This window comes from Homo sapiens, chromosome 2, assembly GCF_000001405.40.
Source record: "Homo sapiens chromosome 2, GRCh38.p14 Primary Assembly".
Taxonomy (NCBI): domain Eukaryota; kingdom Metazoa; phylum Chordata; class Mammalia; order Primates; family Hominidae; genus Homo; species Homo sapiens.
The window spans coordinates 20,178,381-20,196,889 of record NC_000002.12 but is presented as its reverse complement, the minus strand read 5'-3'; the positions used below and the strand labels follow the sequence as shown (position 1 = coordinate 20,196,889).

General features: G+C 54.1%; 1 annotated feature.

Annotated features, from left to right (window-relative positions):
• Nucleotides 8,863-9,481: an enhancer, noted in NCBI's record as "H3K4me1 hESC enhancer chr2:20387170-20387788 (GRCh37/hg19 assembly coordinates)". NCBI's record gives its function as "activates a minimal SCP1, AML or CMV promoter by ChIP-STARR-seq in primed H9 embryonic stem cells {active_cell/tissue: H9 hESC(primed)}" and the evidence as "EXISTENCE:reporter gene assay evidence [ECO:0000049][PMID:30033119]".

The window sequence follows — 18,509 nt, the reverse complement described above, 5'->3', positions numbered from 1 at the left end:
TGCCCTACCCAGCCGGTGTTTCCAGCACTTAAGGCTGGGATCTAAGCCGTTCTTCCACTCCAGGAAAATATTTGTTCAGGGACTTGGCACCCAAATAAGAGGAAATAAAAGCCACCTTGGAGTCAAGCGGGCGGCTCTGCTGCCGGCGGCTGTGTCTGCCCCTCCAGGTTGCCTCCGCAGGTGCCCAGGCCCGGCGTCTGGGGCCTGGCCAGGAACCTCACCCCACAGACAGGCCTGCTTAAGGATAAGCCTGGGGTGCCACTGTTTATTCATTCATTCAGTCAGTCATCTGTCAGTTCCGTCAACAAATGTTTATGAAACCTACTATGTGCCAGGCACAGTGCCAGGCCCTGGACATTGCCAGTGACCCAGGCCCCGTCCTTACCTTCAAGGCTGTTGCGAGGTAGTGAGGGAGGCTGGCAGCGTAGTAGGAGCATTGAGGGTATGGAGGTGAGGCCAGGGGGAGCCATCAGGCAGGCCCATACCACCAAGCACTTGGCAGGCACCTAGTATCAAGCCAAAGGAAACATAAGGTGAAATGAAGGGATGACCCAGAGGGGAAGGAGCATTCCAGGCAGATGGAACAGCATAGGCAAAGGCCCAGAGGTAAGACGGCACAGAGCTTTGTACTGTAGAGAGTTGATGGGGTTGGCTGGGGTTGGGGCCAGGAGTTCAGCACGAGGAAGTTGGAGGTGAAGCCGGAAGAACCTCCCTCCTGGGTGTAATGCTCAGGACTGTGGACTTTATCCCCAGAGCAGTGGAGGTTTTTATTTGTTTTGAAACATTTAAACACATTGATTTTGATTCTTTTTTAAATAGAAAAGTACAAAAAGAAAATTAAATTGACCTCAAATCTCACCACCTAGATATTTCCTTATGACCTTTAAAAAATTAAAATATGCATGTGCGCATGATTAGAAATCCAAGCAGAACAGAAAAGTCCAAAATGAAAAGTGAAATCCTCCTTCTCCTCACCTGTCTCTTGCCAAAGGCAATTTCATTTAATAGGTTTTTGGTTGCTGTTTCCAGAAATTTTTTCCGTGCACATACCTGTGAGGATAAGTCTACGCTTTTAAAAAGTTACACCAAAGGGGTGGGTCTATCCACGGGGACATACAGCTCCTTTTTCTGACCCAGTTTCATTTCGGTACGTGCAGACAGTTCTACCCCATTCATATAATGACTGCGGAGCATTCAGTTGTGCGGACGGACTGTAACTGACCCAATTCTTCCCTATTGGTGAGCACCTTATTTCCAGGCTTCTGCTGTTGTACACAGTGCAGGACTGAAGGTCTCGCGTGGGTATTTTAGGAAGCCATTATCAGTAAACACCTCAGAGGCTTTTCTAGCAGTGGACTCTGGATGGAAAGGAGTGTTCTTTGCAATTGCCCTCCAAAAACGTCACCCATTGGCCACACCTGTCCCTGTGTCCAAACTTCAGGTGGGAGTCTCAGAGACCACACCTTCAAATGGTTCCATTTTCTTCGTTCTGCTGGAGTGGGGGTTAGAGATGGTATCACATGGTTGTTTTGATTTTCTTTTATTTAATTTAATTGCAAATAAGGTTAGGAATCATTTCAGATGTTTTGTTTTGTTTTGTTTTGCTTTGAGACAGAGTCTTGCTCTGTTGCCCAGCCTGGAGGGCAGTGGCAAGATCTCAGCTCACTGCAACCTCCATCTCCTGGGTTCAAACAATACTCTTGCCTCAGCCTCCCAAGTAGCTGGGACCACAGGTGCACACCACGATGCCCAGCTAGTTTTTGTCGTTTTAGTAGAGATGGGGTTTCGCCATGTTGGCCTTGCTGGTCTCGAACTCCTGACCTCAGGTGATCCGCCTGCCTCGGCCTCCCAAAGTGTTGGGATGACAGGCGTGAGCCCCATTTCATATGTTTTTGCCATTTGTATTGCTTTCTGCTTAGAGGAATTGCATTGTCCTGTTTTCTGGCCCTTCTTCCTAAGGGGTTTTTGTTCTTTTTCTTGCTAATGGGTGTGGGTTCCTCATGTACTCATGACTTTGAGGGAGGAGCATGGCAGGCTTTGGTCTCCAAATGATCCTGCTGGCTGCTGTGGGAGGGGCTTGGGGGCCAGTCAGCTGGGAGGCCTGTGCAGGGTCCCTGTGAGAGGGGCCGTGGCCTGGAACAAGAGGTGGCCGCAGGAAGGGAGCCGTGACTGGATTCTGAAGATACTCAGGAAAGAGGACTGAGAGGAACAACCAGTGGGTTGATTTTATGCACAATAGTCCGGATAACTTTGGTTCAATGAAAAAAAATAAAGCAAAACATTGCCAATGGCCCTCCCGCGGCAGGGGCACATCAGCTAAGATTATCTTGACACAGGATTCTCGATAAGTCACACAGCAGACCAGAGTCCCCGCTGGACCATGGCCTGACAGCTTGCGCTGCTTCTCCTCTTCCCTGATGGAGAAGGGATGGGGTGATGAGGAGGCTGGTTCCCAGGTTCCCACTTCAAATATTATGGTCCCATAAGCCATGGAAACATCTCAGAAATTCCAGTATTTTACCACATAGTAACTGGCTGAGCCACGTGGGTCACTGTTAGGCAAGAAGCCATACAGATTCCCCGGGAAGGGAAACAGGGGCGTATAGGGCCTGAGTGCACAGGGTCAGGAGGTGTGAGGAGGGCCTTCTGGGTCCAGCTCGCTGCTCCGTGCAGAGCACATAGATTTACAGGGAGTGCTTCACAGATATCCACTAGGTGAAATACTTTTCTTTTCTTTTCTTTCTTTTTTTTTTTCGTGAGACACAGTTTTGCTCTCGTTGCCCAGGCTGGAGTGCAATGGCGCAATCTCGGCTCACTGCAACCTCCGCCTCCTGGGTTCCAGCAATTCTCCTGCCTCAGCCTCCCGAGTAGTAGCTGGGATTACAGGCATGCACCACCATGCCCAGCTAATTTTTTTGTATTTTTAGTAGAGATGGGGTTTTACCATGTTGGCTAGGCTGGTCTCAAACTCCTGATCTTAGGTGATGCGCCTGCCTCGGCCTCCCGAAGTGCTGGGATTACAGGTGTGAGCCACTGCGCCCGGTCTGAAATATTTTAATAATTCAAATTTATGTTACAGCCAAAATGAGTGGAAAAAAGGGGGCATGTAATGTTAAAAAGAAAATGTAATTTTTTCCTTTCTTAAAAAAAAAAAAACTAAGGTATATTTTACACACAGTAAAATTTGCCCTTATTGTTATACAGTCTTTTTTCAAATGCATGCAATTGTATAACCACCACTACAGTTAGGATCTGGAACAGTTTACTCATCCCCAAAACTTCCCTGCACCCTTTGTAGTCAACTCCTTCCCCACCCCTGGCTCCTGGCAGCCACTCATTGGTTTTCTGTCCCTGTAAGTGTTGCCTTTTCCAGATGTCCTATGAGTGGAATCATACAGTAGGAAGCCTTTTGAGTCTGGCTTCTTTCGTTTAGGAGACTGCATCTGAGCTCCATCCAAGCTGTGTGCTTCAGGAGTGTGTTCCTTTTCATTGCTGAGTAGTGTTCCGTGGTGTGGAAATGATGACTTTGTAACCACTCAAAACTAGAAAAATGCAAGTGCTCTTCAACTGTGAGCATTTCCTTATCTCTAGATTCATAAATCGAAACACTTCCTTTGTCCACCTATGAATCTTGATTTAGAATCCAGAAAGCATGGTCTGTTTGCCTGAGGCTGCGAAGTAACCTTGGAGAACCTGCAGAGGTGAACAGGCCCAGGGCCAGAGGGCAGGAGGACACTAGCTCCAGGGACCTTGGGCTGACTGTCTGGCCTTTTCTTGGGCAGGCCTAGCCCCAGTCCACATGGTGCCTCTGCAAATCCCCATTCGGGTGGGGTGCAGCTCAGTTAGCAGACAGCACCTCTGGCCAGTAGGAGAAAGTCACCCTGTCCCCCAGGCCTGTGAGCCTTGCACCTGGACAGCAGGATTTCAGCCCCCAGCTTGCTCCTTGACCTCAGCAAAGCCTGCACAGCCACGTGGACAGTTTAGGTCTGGACTAGATTTAAGGCTGAAAAGTCCTGAGACCTGCAGACCCAGGAGGCAGCAGATGGGCTGGCTGCCCTCAGAGCCTCAGGGCAAGCCTGCTGGGGTTCCCCTGGGCTGCCTCAGAGCCCCCTGTGGGCAATCTGGACCTCAGAAAGACCTTTCCGGCGCAGCATCTTTCTTCTTTAAATTAGAGACAGGGTCTATGTTGCCCAGGCTGGCCTCAAACTCCTGGCCTCAAGCAATCATCCTGACTTAGCCTCCCAAATAGCCTCCCAAATAGGGATTACAGGCGAGAGGCCCTGAGCCCAGTCCAGGGCAGCATCTTCGATCCCAAATCTGCAGAGCCCTTTCGAGGACAGAGCCTGGGCCATCAGCTGGGATACCTTCTCTAAGGGCGAACAGCTTCCCTCTGTGGGGCTTTTAACCCCCGTGTTAGCCCTTAAAGGGAAAGTGGGCATTGGGGAGCAGGAGACATGGTCCCCCTTCAGAACTCATGGGGGAGGTGGGAGGGCATGGTGGTCCAGAGAAAAACTCTGTAGCCAGATGTCTGGGCTCAAAATCCTGGTCCTGCCATTTTCCAGCCTCGTGACTAGTGCACAGGGTGTCTGTTGCAAGCCTGGGTGAGGTATGACATGGCCGCACATGGGCTACTGCCACCTCTCAGCACCTGATAGATGTTGTTGTTGGACCAGTGACAGGGCCACAGACTGAGACGGTGTGGAGCCCCAGGGTGACATCCGTTAACCAGGGCTGCCTCCTTCTGATCCTCAGCTTCCCCTCACCCATCAGATGTGGCCCCAGATGAGATGACTTCTCGTACTTCCCAGGATTCTGCCAGGCCAGGGTGACCAGGTCTGGTGAGAACCAGGCCGGGGGGCCTCAAGGATGCAGACTCCAGCCCCATCCTCCTGATAGGTGCTCCCTGCAGCCTGACGGCCAAGGAAGAGGGTCCACACTGGGCCCCTGGGTCCCCAGTGCAGGAGCAGCCTGGCCTCCCCTCTGGGTCCAGCCCAGCTACTTCTGAGGGTGGAAAATATCCCGTGGCACGAGGGCTGGGCTGAGTTCCAGCTCATGGCTGCCCGGACAGAGTCCACAGAAGAAGAAAGACTTTTACCAACTCTTTTTCTCTATGTGTTGCTCCAGGGACCTTGGGCTGACTGTCTGGCCTTATTCTCAAGGCTATATAACATTTTTATTTATTTTTCTCTTTGTAAATGAGGCTGTTTTGCCCTATCAGATGTGCTACCACTTGAACTCATTAGAAAAGACTGGTCGCTTGATGTGAAAGGTAAGGCCTTTCAGGCCTAAGAATCCAGACACACAGCAGGGCTTCTCGCAGGGGGAACTTAAGCATGCTTTGTGCATGAAATGGGGCACAATCCCTGCCCGCCAGGGGGAGCTTAGCTGTCCCTCAGATGTGCCTCTCCAGTACAGTGCCACACAAGGCTGACCAGCCAGGGCCGGCCCCTCCCCAGAGAGCGCTCACACCCACAGTGCTCAGGGGTCTTCACCATCCTTCCCTCATCGTATTCTCACACAAACTCGAGCTGTGTGGTGCTGCAGGAGTTATTCTGTTTCACAGGCGAGGAAACAGGTCTGGAGAGGATAAGGGTTTGCTCAAGGCGGCAGGCCTGGATCTTCGGGACTAGCTGGATATGATTTTGTGGCCCCTGGTGGAGACTGAAGTGGAGACAGCTTGAGGGGGCTGGCCTTGCTACTCACACACTATGCGTCCGAGCCTGACAGGCAGCCCTTCTTCCCAGCCCTGTCTGTTCAACTCCCTCCTTGCCTGCACCCCAGACAAGGGGAATTTCTCCCAGGAGCCAGAGGCCAGGCCGGGAGCCCAGAGCTGGCGCTCAGCAGTCTCTGCCCGCCCTGGCTGAGGGACTGCGTGAAACTGTTGCATCTCCTTACCCCTCCATTTCCTTATAGGGAAAGCAGGAGGGCCGGTGCCCACCTTCAGGCACAGATGAGACTTGGAAAGAGATTTAAGAAAACGCAGCGTGCCACTAAATGTCAGGCACCAAGATTCTGGTTAATTATGAATAAGGACTACCATTTCCAATATGCCTAGAATGTGCCAGGCTCTATCCATGCCTACCCTCCGATTTCAGGGACACAGAGTAATATAGTGGCAGGAGCAGGGGCTTTGGGGTTAGACCCCACTTTACTGGCTGTGTGACCATAAACTCCTTAGAACCTCAGCTCTGTCATCTGTGAAATGAACTCATCTCCTAGGGGCATTAAATAAAGTAATGGGAGTAAACTCTTCAGCATTTTGGTTTGGGCACTTTGCAAGCATTGCATGAATAGTGGCTATGACTCTGATGGTCGCAAAATCCCTGACAGGCTGGAATCCCCACCCTCTTTTCGCAAATGAGGAAATTGAGATCCAAACTGATTCTTCATGCAGCTCCTGAGTGGCCAAGCAGACGTGCAGACCCAGGTCTGTGCCGCTCCTGTGCCACGGTTGCTTCCTGTTCATCCATTCTGTCCCAGAGGACACCTGGACAGGCGTGGGAGAGGCTCTTCCAGGCTGGAGCTGCCCCAGCAAGCCCCGAAGCGGTTCCCAGGCATGGGAAAGGGTGGCCTCCCTGACACGCCTGGGTGCTGGCACCACAGTTACTAATGATGTATCCTGCAGGGAACCATGGTCATGAGAAGACAAACAACCAGGGGACAGATGGCAGCTCATTTCTACCCAGCCCCAGGCAGCTCCGTGTCCCTATGAGCCAGTGGGCAGGTGGGGGGATGTCACTTGGAATATGTCAGATCCAGAAGTTGGGGAGCAATTCCCTTCTCCCATGGTGGGAGGAGCATGGGCAGTGCCCTCTGTCTCCCAGGAAGCTGGCTACATAGGCGGCGCTGGCCTTTGCTGGGGAAGCCCAAGAGAATAGCTCCAGCCCTCCGAAGTGGCTCTTCCCTTGGAGCCCTGTGCCCTGAGCACGTCCCTACGTGCGTCTCACTCCTTCAACACAGTTACTGAGGCCTCCTCTGGGTCAGGGCCTGGGGACCCAGAGATATCAGGAGCACAGCCCTGGCCTTTGAAGAGCCCACGGTTTTGTGGCAAGGACACACATGCATTATTAAACAATACAGATGTCCAAGGGCAGTGCTGTAGAAACAGATGAAGGACACCCCATCCAGCTTGAGGACTTAGAGAAGACTGCCTGGAGGAGGAGGCATGTGAATGAGGTCTTGTCAAACGAGCTGGCCCGGCAAAAGAGGAGGAGAGAAGTGTTCTTGGAAAGTGCCAGGTGCACCCAGGGACCCACAAGATCCCCCCACCCCAGTGTGCAGTATCTGTATTGGGGGTGGAAAAGCAGTGAGAAGTGAGGCTGGAGGGACAACTGGAGCCAGTAAAGGAGGGCTGGTTTTCTAGGTCAGGGGCACAGGGTTGTGGCTGATGGTGAGGGAGCCGGCTCTACTGGCTTTTGAGAGCTGACTGTGCTCATGAGTTCAGTGACCTCACAAGGTAGTTTGAAATTGGCCATGATGGAAATATTTGTACCATGGACATTGGCAAGTGCCACAAATCAGAGCCAGTTGTTAAAAAAAAAAAAAAAAGGAAGGAGGCAGCCTGGGTGGATTCTAAAGTAAGGGCATGGGATAATTAGCTTTGTTCCTTAGAAGGATGTCCTGACTGTTGCAGTATAAAGAACAGGTGGAGGGGAATGGGCTTGGAGACGAGCTGGGCCCTAGGTGACCTCCTGGAGACGGCCAGAGGCTGCCCAAGAAGGGTCTGGGTAGTGGGAGAGGATAGGCCCCTGCCTCCCACTGTGTAACCTGACTCCCACTGTGTCGGGCTCAGCCTGGGGGTGGGGCAGAGGATTAGGTGGCTCTTTCAGCCTTCCTCAGCTAGAGCCTGAGAATCCCAGTAAAACCCTTAATGAAAAACACCTGGGGCTCTGCCCCCGAGCCAGGCCTAGAGATGGGGATGGGAAGGGGATTAGGGGATCGGAAGTGAGGGTGGAGAGGGACTCCACTCCATCCATTCATTTGTTCATTCATGAACTCTTGTTTCACCCAGCTCCCTGCGCCTGGCCCTGGGAGAAGGCGGAGCGGAAAAAAGAGGGGCTAAGGAAGCCATAGAAGCACCGCACAGGGGCCATAGGGATCCCTGAGCCACGGCGCCTGCCTCATGTACTGATGCTTACTCTATGGAACCTTCCAGGCCAGGTCACAGTGCATCAGAGTCACGACTAGGCTAGGTCCTCGGTCTCCCACGTCTTCCCCGCAGAATCGTGTGTGTGTGTGTGTGTGTGTGTACGTGTGCATGTGCAAGTACATACACACATACAGGATTGTAGTGAGGGGGGTGTTGATTATAAGAATACAGGAAGGGTGGAGGCTGAGATCCACCCACTGGAGTGGTGGAACTCAGCCTTCATCCTTCCTGCCCAAGACATATTGCAGATGGAGCATGTGAGATCCCAAAAAAGAGACTTGGTGGATTCACAGCCCACTGGGGCTTGGCCTGGTCCGGGCTGGCCTCCGGGCCAGAAATGACCTGTGGGCCTTTGAAGCCTGGAGAGTTGGGGTGGCTGTGGGAGGGGGCTGGGCTCCAGGACCTCTGCCCCACCCTTCCCTGGAGGGAGGCACTGAAGAGGCAGGACCTGCCTCATCCAGGCAGCATTGCTCTCTGGCTTCTCAAGATGGCTCAGGGCTGGCCTGGAGGTAGTCATGGGGCTCCTGGGCACTGTGCTGTCTGGCAGCGGACTCAGGTTCCTGGCTGGAAGTGCTAGTGGTCACCAAACAATTGGGTTGGGATTTAGAAAAAGGATGTTCTGTTCTGGGGAGAAGCTTATTTGTGAACTCAGTTCCCACCTGTTGTGCACCTTCCGAGCCCTCCTCCCCACCCAAATTCTCCCCAGGCACAGTCAAAGGGCAGGCAGGGGCACAGGGAGCACCTCTGTGCATGTTAGACACAGCGCTCCCTTGGGGAAGATCCCCTCTGGACAGGCACCTGGCTTGGTGAGTGGGCATGGCTTTTACTGAAATTAGAAAAGAGGACACTGCTTCAAGCAGACACCGCATAGGTGCAGTGGCCAATCTGCACAGACACACCTGTACCCTCGAGCTCGTCCTCTAGTGGCTGGCGGGGAGGGCTCCATTTGTACAAACACAACTATTGCTTCCACACCCTGTCTGCCCTTCCTCCACCCATGGGCCGCTCCATTCCCCATCCTTCAGGTAATGGACATCTCTTAAAGGGATGTGAGGGACTGGGGCCTGGGGTGAGTGTGCTATGAAAGCAGAAATATTCACACTTCAAGGGCTACGGGAGGTGTGGCCCCCTGCTGACAGCAGCTTTCAGCAGGGGAAGCTCCCACAGGCCTTCTGGGCACCATGTGGGGAGGGAGGCCGGGTATCTGCAGATGAAAGGCACAGGACCGGCTGCAGCCCCAGGAGGCAGCCCAGGAGGCAGCCTAGCCAGCCTTCCCAGGGCTTCCCTCCAGGGCCAGGTGGTCCCAGCCTGTCTGCTCCCCTCACTGTGTCTGTGGTGTATCTACAGATGCTCCAGGGTGGAGGAACTAGCCTTGCCAGCCAGGCTGTGAGACACAACCACCTTCATTTCAGCCCTTGAAAGTGGAACAGCCTTCCCAGCACCCTGGCTCCTTCTAGGGCAAGCCCTCTGGAGAAGGAGTGCAGAGCTGCAGGCCAGCAGGCCCAGGGTCCCGCCTGGTATCTTGGGTGCTTTCCTTCCCTCCTGGGGCCTCAGATCTCCTCATCTGGAAATCAAGTTCAGAAAGGTGCAAAATGTACTGGTAAGAGGCAGAGCCGGTACTTGAACCCAGGACTGCCTGACTTCAAAGCTTCATCACAGCATCACAGGTTCTTCTAGGAGCCAGGGCAGACAGATGCTAACGAGGACTCATCCTCATGGGATCCTTCAGGATGTGGCTGAGCCCGCAGCTGCTTCATGTACATGGACTTCAAGAGGTCACAAAACTGTGAGCATTCTTAGGGTTTCTGAGGGCCACCCCCTTGAAGTTGAGGTTCAGAGAAGGGGAGTCTCTTGCCAGCCGTGGGGAGCCCAGACTCACTTGCTCCCAGCCAGTGCTCTTTCTGCTGTGCGGAGTGGCTTTCTCGAGCCCATCTAGGTTAGATGCCGCAAATGTATAGTGAGTGGGGGCCTTCCCCATGGGAGGAGAATGTCCTCTTGGGGAAGCAGAAACAGGGACGCCTCTGGCTCCAAGGCCGCAGCGATCACATGATATCTGCAGTGATCACCTGATATCTGCAATGAGTCTGTCACCCCTCCCTCTGCCCCTAGTTACTGACTCACAGAACAGTCGTTAGTTCCTCAAAGGGACAGGAGCAGCAGCCGATGACTGGCAGAGAAGTTACTGGGAGTTACTGGGAGCTCTCCGGTGGGTCAGTCACTAAGACCAGGCCCCAGGTTTGTGCTGGGCTAGAAAGAGCTCAGCAACAGTGACCTACACAAAGGTGGTCTGTGAAACCGAGGGCAGGGGTGAGCCCTCGGGCAGGAATTCAGGGGCCTCTGGCCTTGTCAGCTCCCTGAGGCCAGGGGGGATGGGGAGTGGGAGCCAGGGTGGAGGAACCATGGACTGGCCTGAGGAAGCAGTCCTGCCTGGAGACCCTGCTGAGGGCCAACATTGTACAGCCCCGGCTCCCTCCAGGGACCCTGCCCTTGGAGATCACAGCATCCTGCCGGGAAGTCACATATCAGACCTCTGGGGCTTGGCTACCTGTGAGCCAGCAGGGAACACTTGGTCAGGTGTCAGGGAGAGGCTTTCTGGCTGGCCTGGAATGGTGGGTGGGATTTTCCCATGGGAAAAGCCTGGAGAACAAAAAAAATAGGAAAACCAGGTGAGGCGGGGAGGTGAGTTGGTGGAAGGGTGGGAGCTGAGGCCTGGAGCCTGCCTCTGTGGGAGAAGGGAGGCTGTGGGCAGATGCTGGTTCCTCATTTCCCTGTTCCCCTGCAGCACCCGCAGAGATGGCTAAAGCAGGCCACCCTCAAAGGGCACAGTGTGCTCTCATGAGTCAGGGGCCAGGCTGGGGAGCACCCTCTGAGCCCCGCTTCCCAGTCGGCCTTCCAACCATTCCCTCCCAGCTTGAGGCCACTTCCTGCAAGAGTTAGTCAGCTCTGCTCACATGCCCGGGCTGGGGGTGCTCAGACCGCACAGTGAGACAGCTGTCTTGGGCCCCCTGGACGCTTCCTTTGTGCTGCCCAGGAGAGAGCCTGCCCTCTTACCCGCCACCCCACCCCACAGCTCCAAGTCTGTGGCACAGCCTCCTGGGAAAGGAAGTCCTCGGGCCACTCAGCCGCTCCGCCAGCCACCTGGAGGAGCCCCGGAGATGAACTGTGGGCTTCTCCTCACTGTCTCCTCCTCCTCAACCCTGCAGTTCTGGCCTTTGCTTTTCCCAGTTACTTCCTCAGCAGCTGCGCTTTGATTCCAAGACCATCAGCACGCACAGGAAGGGCTTCCAGGAAGAGGCAGGCCCTGAGCTGGTTCCTAAAGTGCCAAGAGGACCTGTCTAGGACTCCAGAAACTTCCAGGAGTCAGGGAACCTGGGGCAGAGACAGTCCTGAACGCTGTGAATGGGGCAGCTCGGCCTCTCCTTCCCCGCCCTCCAGTCTGACCCTCAGATTCTCTTCAGGCACAGCTGGAAGTGGGATGAGGACGACAGCAGGGGGAAGAAGGCAAGACTAGGTCGAGGAATTCTGTCTGTGGGACAAAGAAGTTTATCTGCCTGGTGGGGTCTCTGGGTGCAGCGAGCTACCTGTGAACATGCTAGGGGGATTTAGAACCCAGTGGGAATGACACTGACAGGCAGGGAACAGAGAGAAGATCGGGCCATTCTTTCCTCATTGCCTCCGCCATCCTGAACACATGGGCATTCCTGGCTCTCATACCAGCCACGTGCCCCCTCTCGGCTTTTCCCTGGAGCCCCTGGTGATTTTAGGATGTTTTCTCCCCATGCTGGGCTGCTGTGGGGGACGTAGGGGGAGGCAGCCCTGGGGGCCCAGTGCATACAGCTGGGGGTTACGCCAAATGCACTGAACAGAGGGACACTGGAGACGGGACTCATGACAGGCCCTCCCCCACCCTGCCAGTGAGACCGATGACTTCCTGAAAAGGGGTTACATGGAGGGTTGGCAACATGGAACATTTGATGTGACCCGAGAACTTCCTGTTCAAATGACGCCTGGGGCTCTTGACCTACTCCCGAAAGTGTCATGTGCACAGTCGGAATGAGCCCTAGGAAGCGGGACTTCTCCAAGCAGAGCTGCTTGCAGGCTGTGCCCACCTTGGGCACCGGGATCCAGGCTCTCCTACTCCAGAGGGCTCTTCTGAGTTGCTGCCGCAGAACCTGCTTGGTGGCCTGTGGCTCACGACGTCAAAGGAGGAGGCATCGGGAAGTGGATGTTCCCAGCAAGAGGGTCTTCTGATGTCCCCCACCCTCCTCAAAGCACCAGGGAAATTGGATCTTAAAAAGGGCCTTGGGAACCCAGTGCTGAGCCCTTCAAGGTAAGTAAGGTCAATGACAGCCATGGCCCGAGGTGAAGCCAGAGAGTGTTTGCTTTCCTGGGAGAAGGCAAACTGAGCAGTGACTCAATTGAGAAATATGCCATCGAGTGCTTGTTTCTGAAACAACAATGTAATCAGAAGTCAGTCCAACTAGGAATGAGCAGTGAGGCCTGAGGAGTTAAGCCCCCACCCTCTGCCACCTGTGGTCCCGCCCCAGCACCAGGGCCCACCTCCGAGGAAAGCATAGATCTGACCTCCTGCCCCCTGAAAGCCCCAAGGAATGGATGGCTAAAGGAAGATCTAAGCCCAGTGCCTCCCCTATGGAAGCACTCCAGCCTGTTCAGCTTTCCTGGCTGATGGGCAAAGGTGTTTTTTGGCTGGCAGCTCTGGCTTTCTTTAACTGCTGGCACCTCCAGGGATGGAGTCCTCCCAGACCTCTCCTGTGGGTGCAGCAGGAGACCCAGGAACTCTAGGCTGAGTTCATGCATCTGAGAGCCTTGTTCCTGCATCCGAAGGGGAAGGACAAGGCCAGCAGCCATCTATTCACTGACCCCTCTCCATGGCTCCCAGGCCATTCCTGACATGGCTTGTCTGGGAGAACTGGATGGATCCTGGCTAAACATGGTAGAAAATCAGAGCTTCAGGAAGGCTGGATATACATGTGCATTTATCCACCTGGATGTTTGCAGGCACTGCCTCAAAGTTATCATTTCCATCCCAAACACCAGCCTCTCCCCCTGGGTATCCTCTCTCAGAATCTCCATCCCCTCCATTGCCTGAGCCAGAGATGCAACTGCTCCTGGAGATTCCTCCCTCTCTGGAATGCTCCTGGTTCCACCTGTTGAATGTCTACATATGTCTTGGTTCCAGCTCTTCCTTCACCCTCATCACCACTGTCCTGGTTTACTGCTTCATTTTCCTTCATCAAGATGATAGCAATAGTCTCCTAGCTGGTATCTTTACCCAGTCTTATGCCCTCTATCAATCAGGCAGGTCGAATTCAAATTTGGGTAATTTGAGAAGAGTGTACAAAGATGTGGGCAAGGGGCAGGGAGACCCCCTTGAATCTCTGAGGTGAGCTGGGAGAGTGCTGTGACTTTTCCAAAAAGATGCATCCAGGTTGCACACAGCCTGCAGGAGGGAGTCAGGGAGAACCCTGCTCTCCTCCCTCCCCTCATCTCCTTCTGGGGGTCCCCAGTAGCTGAGTTGTCTGTCCACAGGAGGGTGAGGGAGCCTGTGGATGCTGTCTGCTCAGGTTGGTCTTCCTAGTACAGGGCAGCCGAGAGAAGGTTCTGGAAGGTGAAGGAAGGATGTTCATACAGACATGCAGACATATTCGTCACATAGCACCAGGGAGACATTTCTAAAACACATACCTGGACATGAGCCTGCTTAACATCCTGAGAATAACCAAAACAATTGTGTGAATGAACAGCAAACACCATCGTCACCCCCGTGGGTCTCTGGTGCGGGATAGGCACCAGCCTCAGCCCCTTTCACAAGATCTAACCCTCTCTTTCCATGCATCATGACCTTCAAGGTCAATGCCAGTGTCCCATTTTACAGCTGAAGTAACTGAAGCTCGGAGAAGCAGACGCCTGCGTCTCACATTCAGGACCTGGTAACACTGGAGTCTGAGCACGGGGCTGAGTCAGCTGTGACAACATCTCTTCCTGGGGCCTTCGAGGCCCTATGGGTTTGTCCTCAGCCCTCTCCACTCTTGGCCCAGCCCTGCTGCTCCTCGCTCCTGGGACTCCTGGGCTGCAGCCAACCTGAGTGACTGGACTCAGCCAACTAGACTCCAGCCAACTCTGGAGCCTCCCTGCTCTCTCGCCTATCTGAGCCTTTTGGGGAAGGTGTGTACGAACGATGGCCCAGAGGCCACAGTATTGCCTCCATGCCTGCTTTTGTACGGTCTGTGAGGGAAAAATGCTTTTTACATTTTCAACGATTGAAAACTTCAAAAGAAGAATATTTTGTGACATGCGAAAATGTGGCATTTTAATGTCCATAAATAAAGTTTTATTAGAACACAGCCCCGCCCGCTTGTGTGCCTTTTGTCTATGGCCGCTTTTGTGCTGCCGTGGCAGAGTTGAGTAGTTGAAAATATTTTCAAATACTCACTATCTGACCCTTTACAGGAAAGGTTTGCCAACTCCTGCTGAGTTGTATGGCTTTATGACACACAACTCAGTCTTCACTGTATTTTTTTGTGCGTTTAAATTTCACCTGTAATTAATGAATATATGCACATTATGGAAGATTCAAACAAGGCAAGGGTATGGGGGAAAGTACAGGAGTCCCCTGTCCCCACCTCCTTCCTCGGGTGATTGTCATTAACACCTCCGAGGCTTGCAGATACTGCTTCTGCTTCCTCTGTCTGCGTTGCCCTGTGCTGCTTCTGTTTCACAAAATCCCATCACACCTCAGGGCCAAGCGCTGCCGCCATCTGGTCTACACCCTCTGAAAGCTGCCCCTGGCCCTGTCTTCCTGATGCATGTTGCTCCAAAGGTAGCATCTCATAGAGACTGACAGCATGGGTGCTGGACCCGCTGCCTGGGTCTTAGCTGGGCTCTGCCACCTACTAGCTGTACATCCCTAGGCTGTTGCTTACTGTCACTATGCCTTAGCGTTTCCCTCATCCTTAAAATGGTGGTCATGGAATGATCTATGTGCTTCACAGGCTTGTGAAGCCCATGTAATAAATAATTAAACACATATTGGCCAGGCACACTGGCTCATGCCTGTAATCCCAGCAGGCAGAGGCAGACAGATCACCTGGGGTCAGGAGTTTGAGACCAGCCTGGCCAACATGGCAAAACCCCTTTGCTACAAAAATACAAAAAATTAGTCTGGCGTGGTGGCGTGCGCCTGTAATCCCAGCTACTCAGGAGGTTGATGCATGAGAATCGCTTGAACCTGGGAGGTGGAGGTTGCAGTGAGCTGAGATTGCACCATTGCACTCCAGCCTGGGCAACGGAGCAAGACTCTGTCTCAAAATAAATAAATAAATAAACAAACAAACACATGTGACCTGCTCAGAACAAAGTGTGGTATACAGACGGTGCTGCTAGGGAGCCATCATGGTAGCTGGCGCCCATGCAGCCCGCATCCATGCCTGGCTCCCCAACCAGGGTGCAGGCCCCCGAGGCAGCAAGCGCATCCTCTCTACTCTCTTCTTCCTCAGGGCTTAGCCCAGACAGGAGCTCAGGAAACAAACAGCGATGCTGCAAGAAGGCCGCATGACAGGCCTCAGGGCCAGGGCCTCAGGTGTCCTGAGAGAATGAGGGCACCATGGGAGCCAGAATACCCAGGTCTTCTCAGGCCGGGCTGTGAGGATGTCCCAAGCACATGACCCAGAACTTGGGGTCCCTGAGGCTGGGCAGGTGAATCTAGGACAAAAAAAGGCACAACTTCTCAATAAGCGGGAGCCCACCCTTTTTTGATTGTTGAGGGGCCTTCAGAGAGTCTGAGGATCACAGTGTCTCTTGGCTGTGAGGAGGGGCCAGGGAGCTCCGGCAGGCCCAGACCTGGGCACCCAGACTCCTAGGTTCTTTTGGAGGGGCACCCGGCAAGGCTGACTGAGCCCTCAGATCAGCTGGGAGCCCTCATCAGACCAGCAGGGTTCAGACTTTTCGGAACACTGAGGAGGGGGAGTGGGAGTGGGGTAAAGGCACCTCCACCCCTCCCACCTTCACAGAAAATTATCTTTCCCCCTCCCCACCCCCACACATAGTGCTGTCCCCCGAACCCCAGATGTACATCCCAACCTTCTTCAGTCCTCCTAGCTTTTGAGGCAGTGAAGCCAGATCTGAAATGGACACACGGTTTACTTAGGGTAAAGGACTTTAGTGCTCCACTCAACAAGCAAATAAAAGGCCGAAGCCTCGGGCGAGGCTGGGGTGGACAGGTGTGGCAACGTCCGCGAATCTGGAGACAGATTTGGCTCCGAATGAGCTGTGAGTTCTCCACCACCACCACCATGCAGGCTCTGGCGCTTGAGACCCCGGATGCTCCCAGGGAGGGGCCCAGGGGCTGGTGTGGGTATGGGCACATGCCTGTGCTTCCCCGAGCAGCCAGGGCCAGAGACCGGGCTCCACAAGGCTCAGAGGGTTCATGGAGAAAGGGGAGGAGGGGCCTGAGGCGTGGCTCCCTGTCTGTCATGGGCCTGGGTGGGCGGGTCCTCCTGCGTCCTCTAGTCCAGTCTGGAGTCTGATGCTCTGTGGCAGGAGCAGCTTGGGACAGGCTTAGGTGACACTGTTTGAGGAACATCTCCCTTGAGGCTGGTCTCATCCCAGCAATGGATGGCTGGCAACAGGGGCTGGAGTCTGCATGGGCTGGAGTGGGAGGATGGCATCAAATGTGATTGTAGTCACATCTGCACATCTGGCTAGGCTGTCCCTTGTTTCCCTCCAGCTTCATGTCTCTTGCTTCTGGGAGCCCGCCTGGCCCTGCCCCACTGGGCCAGCCCCTGAGTCGGGTGGTGGGTGCGGGCGGCGGGTGCGGCCACCATTGTGCAAGGGGTGAGCTCACCCGCCGTGCCCAGCCTGGCCTGCACTGGCCTGCCCGCTGCTGGTTAATCATTGTTCAAACACCCTGGCAGGCAAGTGGGCTGTGGAGGGAGACGTGACAGGGCAGGGCTGCCTCTGCCAGGTCTCAGCAAAGCTCTGCCAGCAGGCCCAGGGCCGGAGCCGCTCCCCAGGACCCCACAGAGAGCAGCCTGCAGTGGGGCTGAGACCACCTCTCCTAATTCCTTAGGAGGAACTCAGTAAATATTTTTGATAGACTCAAAGAACACCCCTTTGTAGGTTTCCTGTTTTGGGGTAAACACCCAGCAGTTTAGTACCATAGCTATGAGGGTGGGCCCCAGAGTCCAAAAGCTTTGGGTCAAACCATAGCCCTGTCACTTATGGGCTGTGTGAACTTGGCCGAATTTCATAATCTCTCTGTGCCTCAGTTTCCTGGGCTGTACAAAGGAGTTGATGATGATAATAGTGCCCTCCTCATAGGACTGTTGGGAGGATTAGGATATATATAAAGTGCTTACTAGGCCCATCGCCCCGAACCAAGACTGAAACACTCATCACGGCTCCCAGCTCATGGCCACCAGATGACGGGCTGGGCTGGTTGTACACTCACATGTTCTGCTGTGAATTAGGTACAACTTTCCCCACTTCCCAGATGAGAACACCTGGGCTCAGGAGAGGGATGGAGAGGGATGTTACGTGTGAAGCAGCTACTGAAGGTCACAAGATAGAAATGACAAAGCTGGGTTTCAAGCCCAGGTTCATCTGCACCCAAATGCCATGTTCTTCCCATCACCCAGCCCTGCCAGGCTTGCAGATCAAAGGTGCAAATCTGAACTTGCCAGGCAATTAAATGCTGCCCATGTTCACTGACATTCTCTGAGCACTGTGGGTAGAGGGGTGGTGAGGAGGCTCTGGGCTGAGTTTGCTGTTAGAAAGACAGAGATCAACAATGCCCAGCCCAGTCCCTGGGCCCAGAGAGCCCTCGATGGATGAGGAGAGAGCATGAGCTGTTCACTGCCCGGCAGAAGCCCAGCACCACCATGGCTGAGACCCAGGTGGCTCCAGGACCCCCAGACAGGCAGGGTCAAGGAGGCAGTTGGTGGGAAAAGGGCCTTGAAGCGGCACACTGTGTTTGATTTGTGTGATTTTTTTCAGCGTGTGTATATTTGGCATGGTTTAGGTGGGGGCGAGTTGCAGAGATCAGAGGCCTAGAATCCCCTTCTGCCTCTTACCCCAGGCTTCCCCACGGTGCTGCTACTAGCTGGGACTGAGTAGAGACAGCCATAGAGACAGGTGCCAGACTCCTGTTAAGGGCCCTGTCGGAGGAGCACTCGTCTCCTGGGAAGAGTCCCAGCCCTTGGCGAGGGCTCTTTGGTCTACTTCAGAGCCGCACCTTGAGGGAGAGTTCCGGGTGTCGGGCAGCTTGCCCTGGGGCCTCTGGGGCATTTGTGGGGCCCCATGGGAGCCTGCACACCATGGGATAGGCAGCTAGGAAAAATCC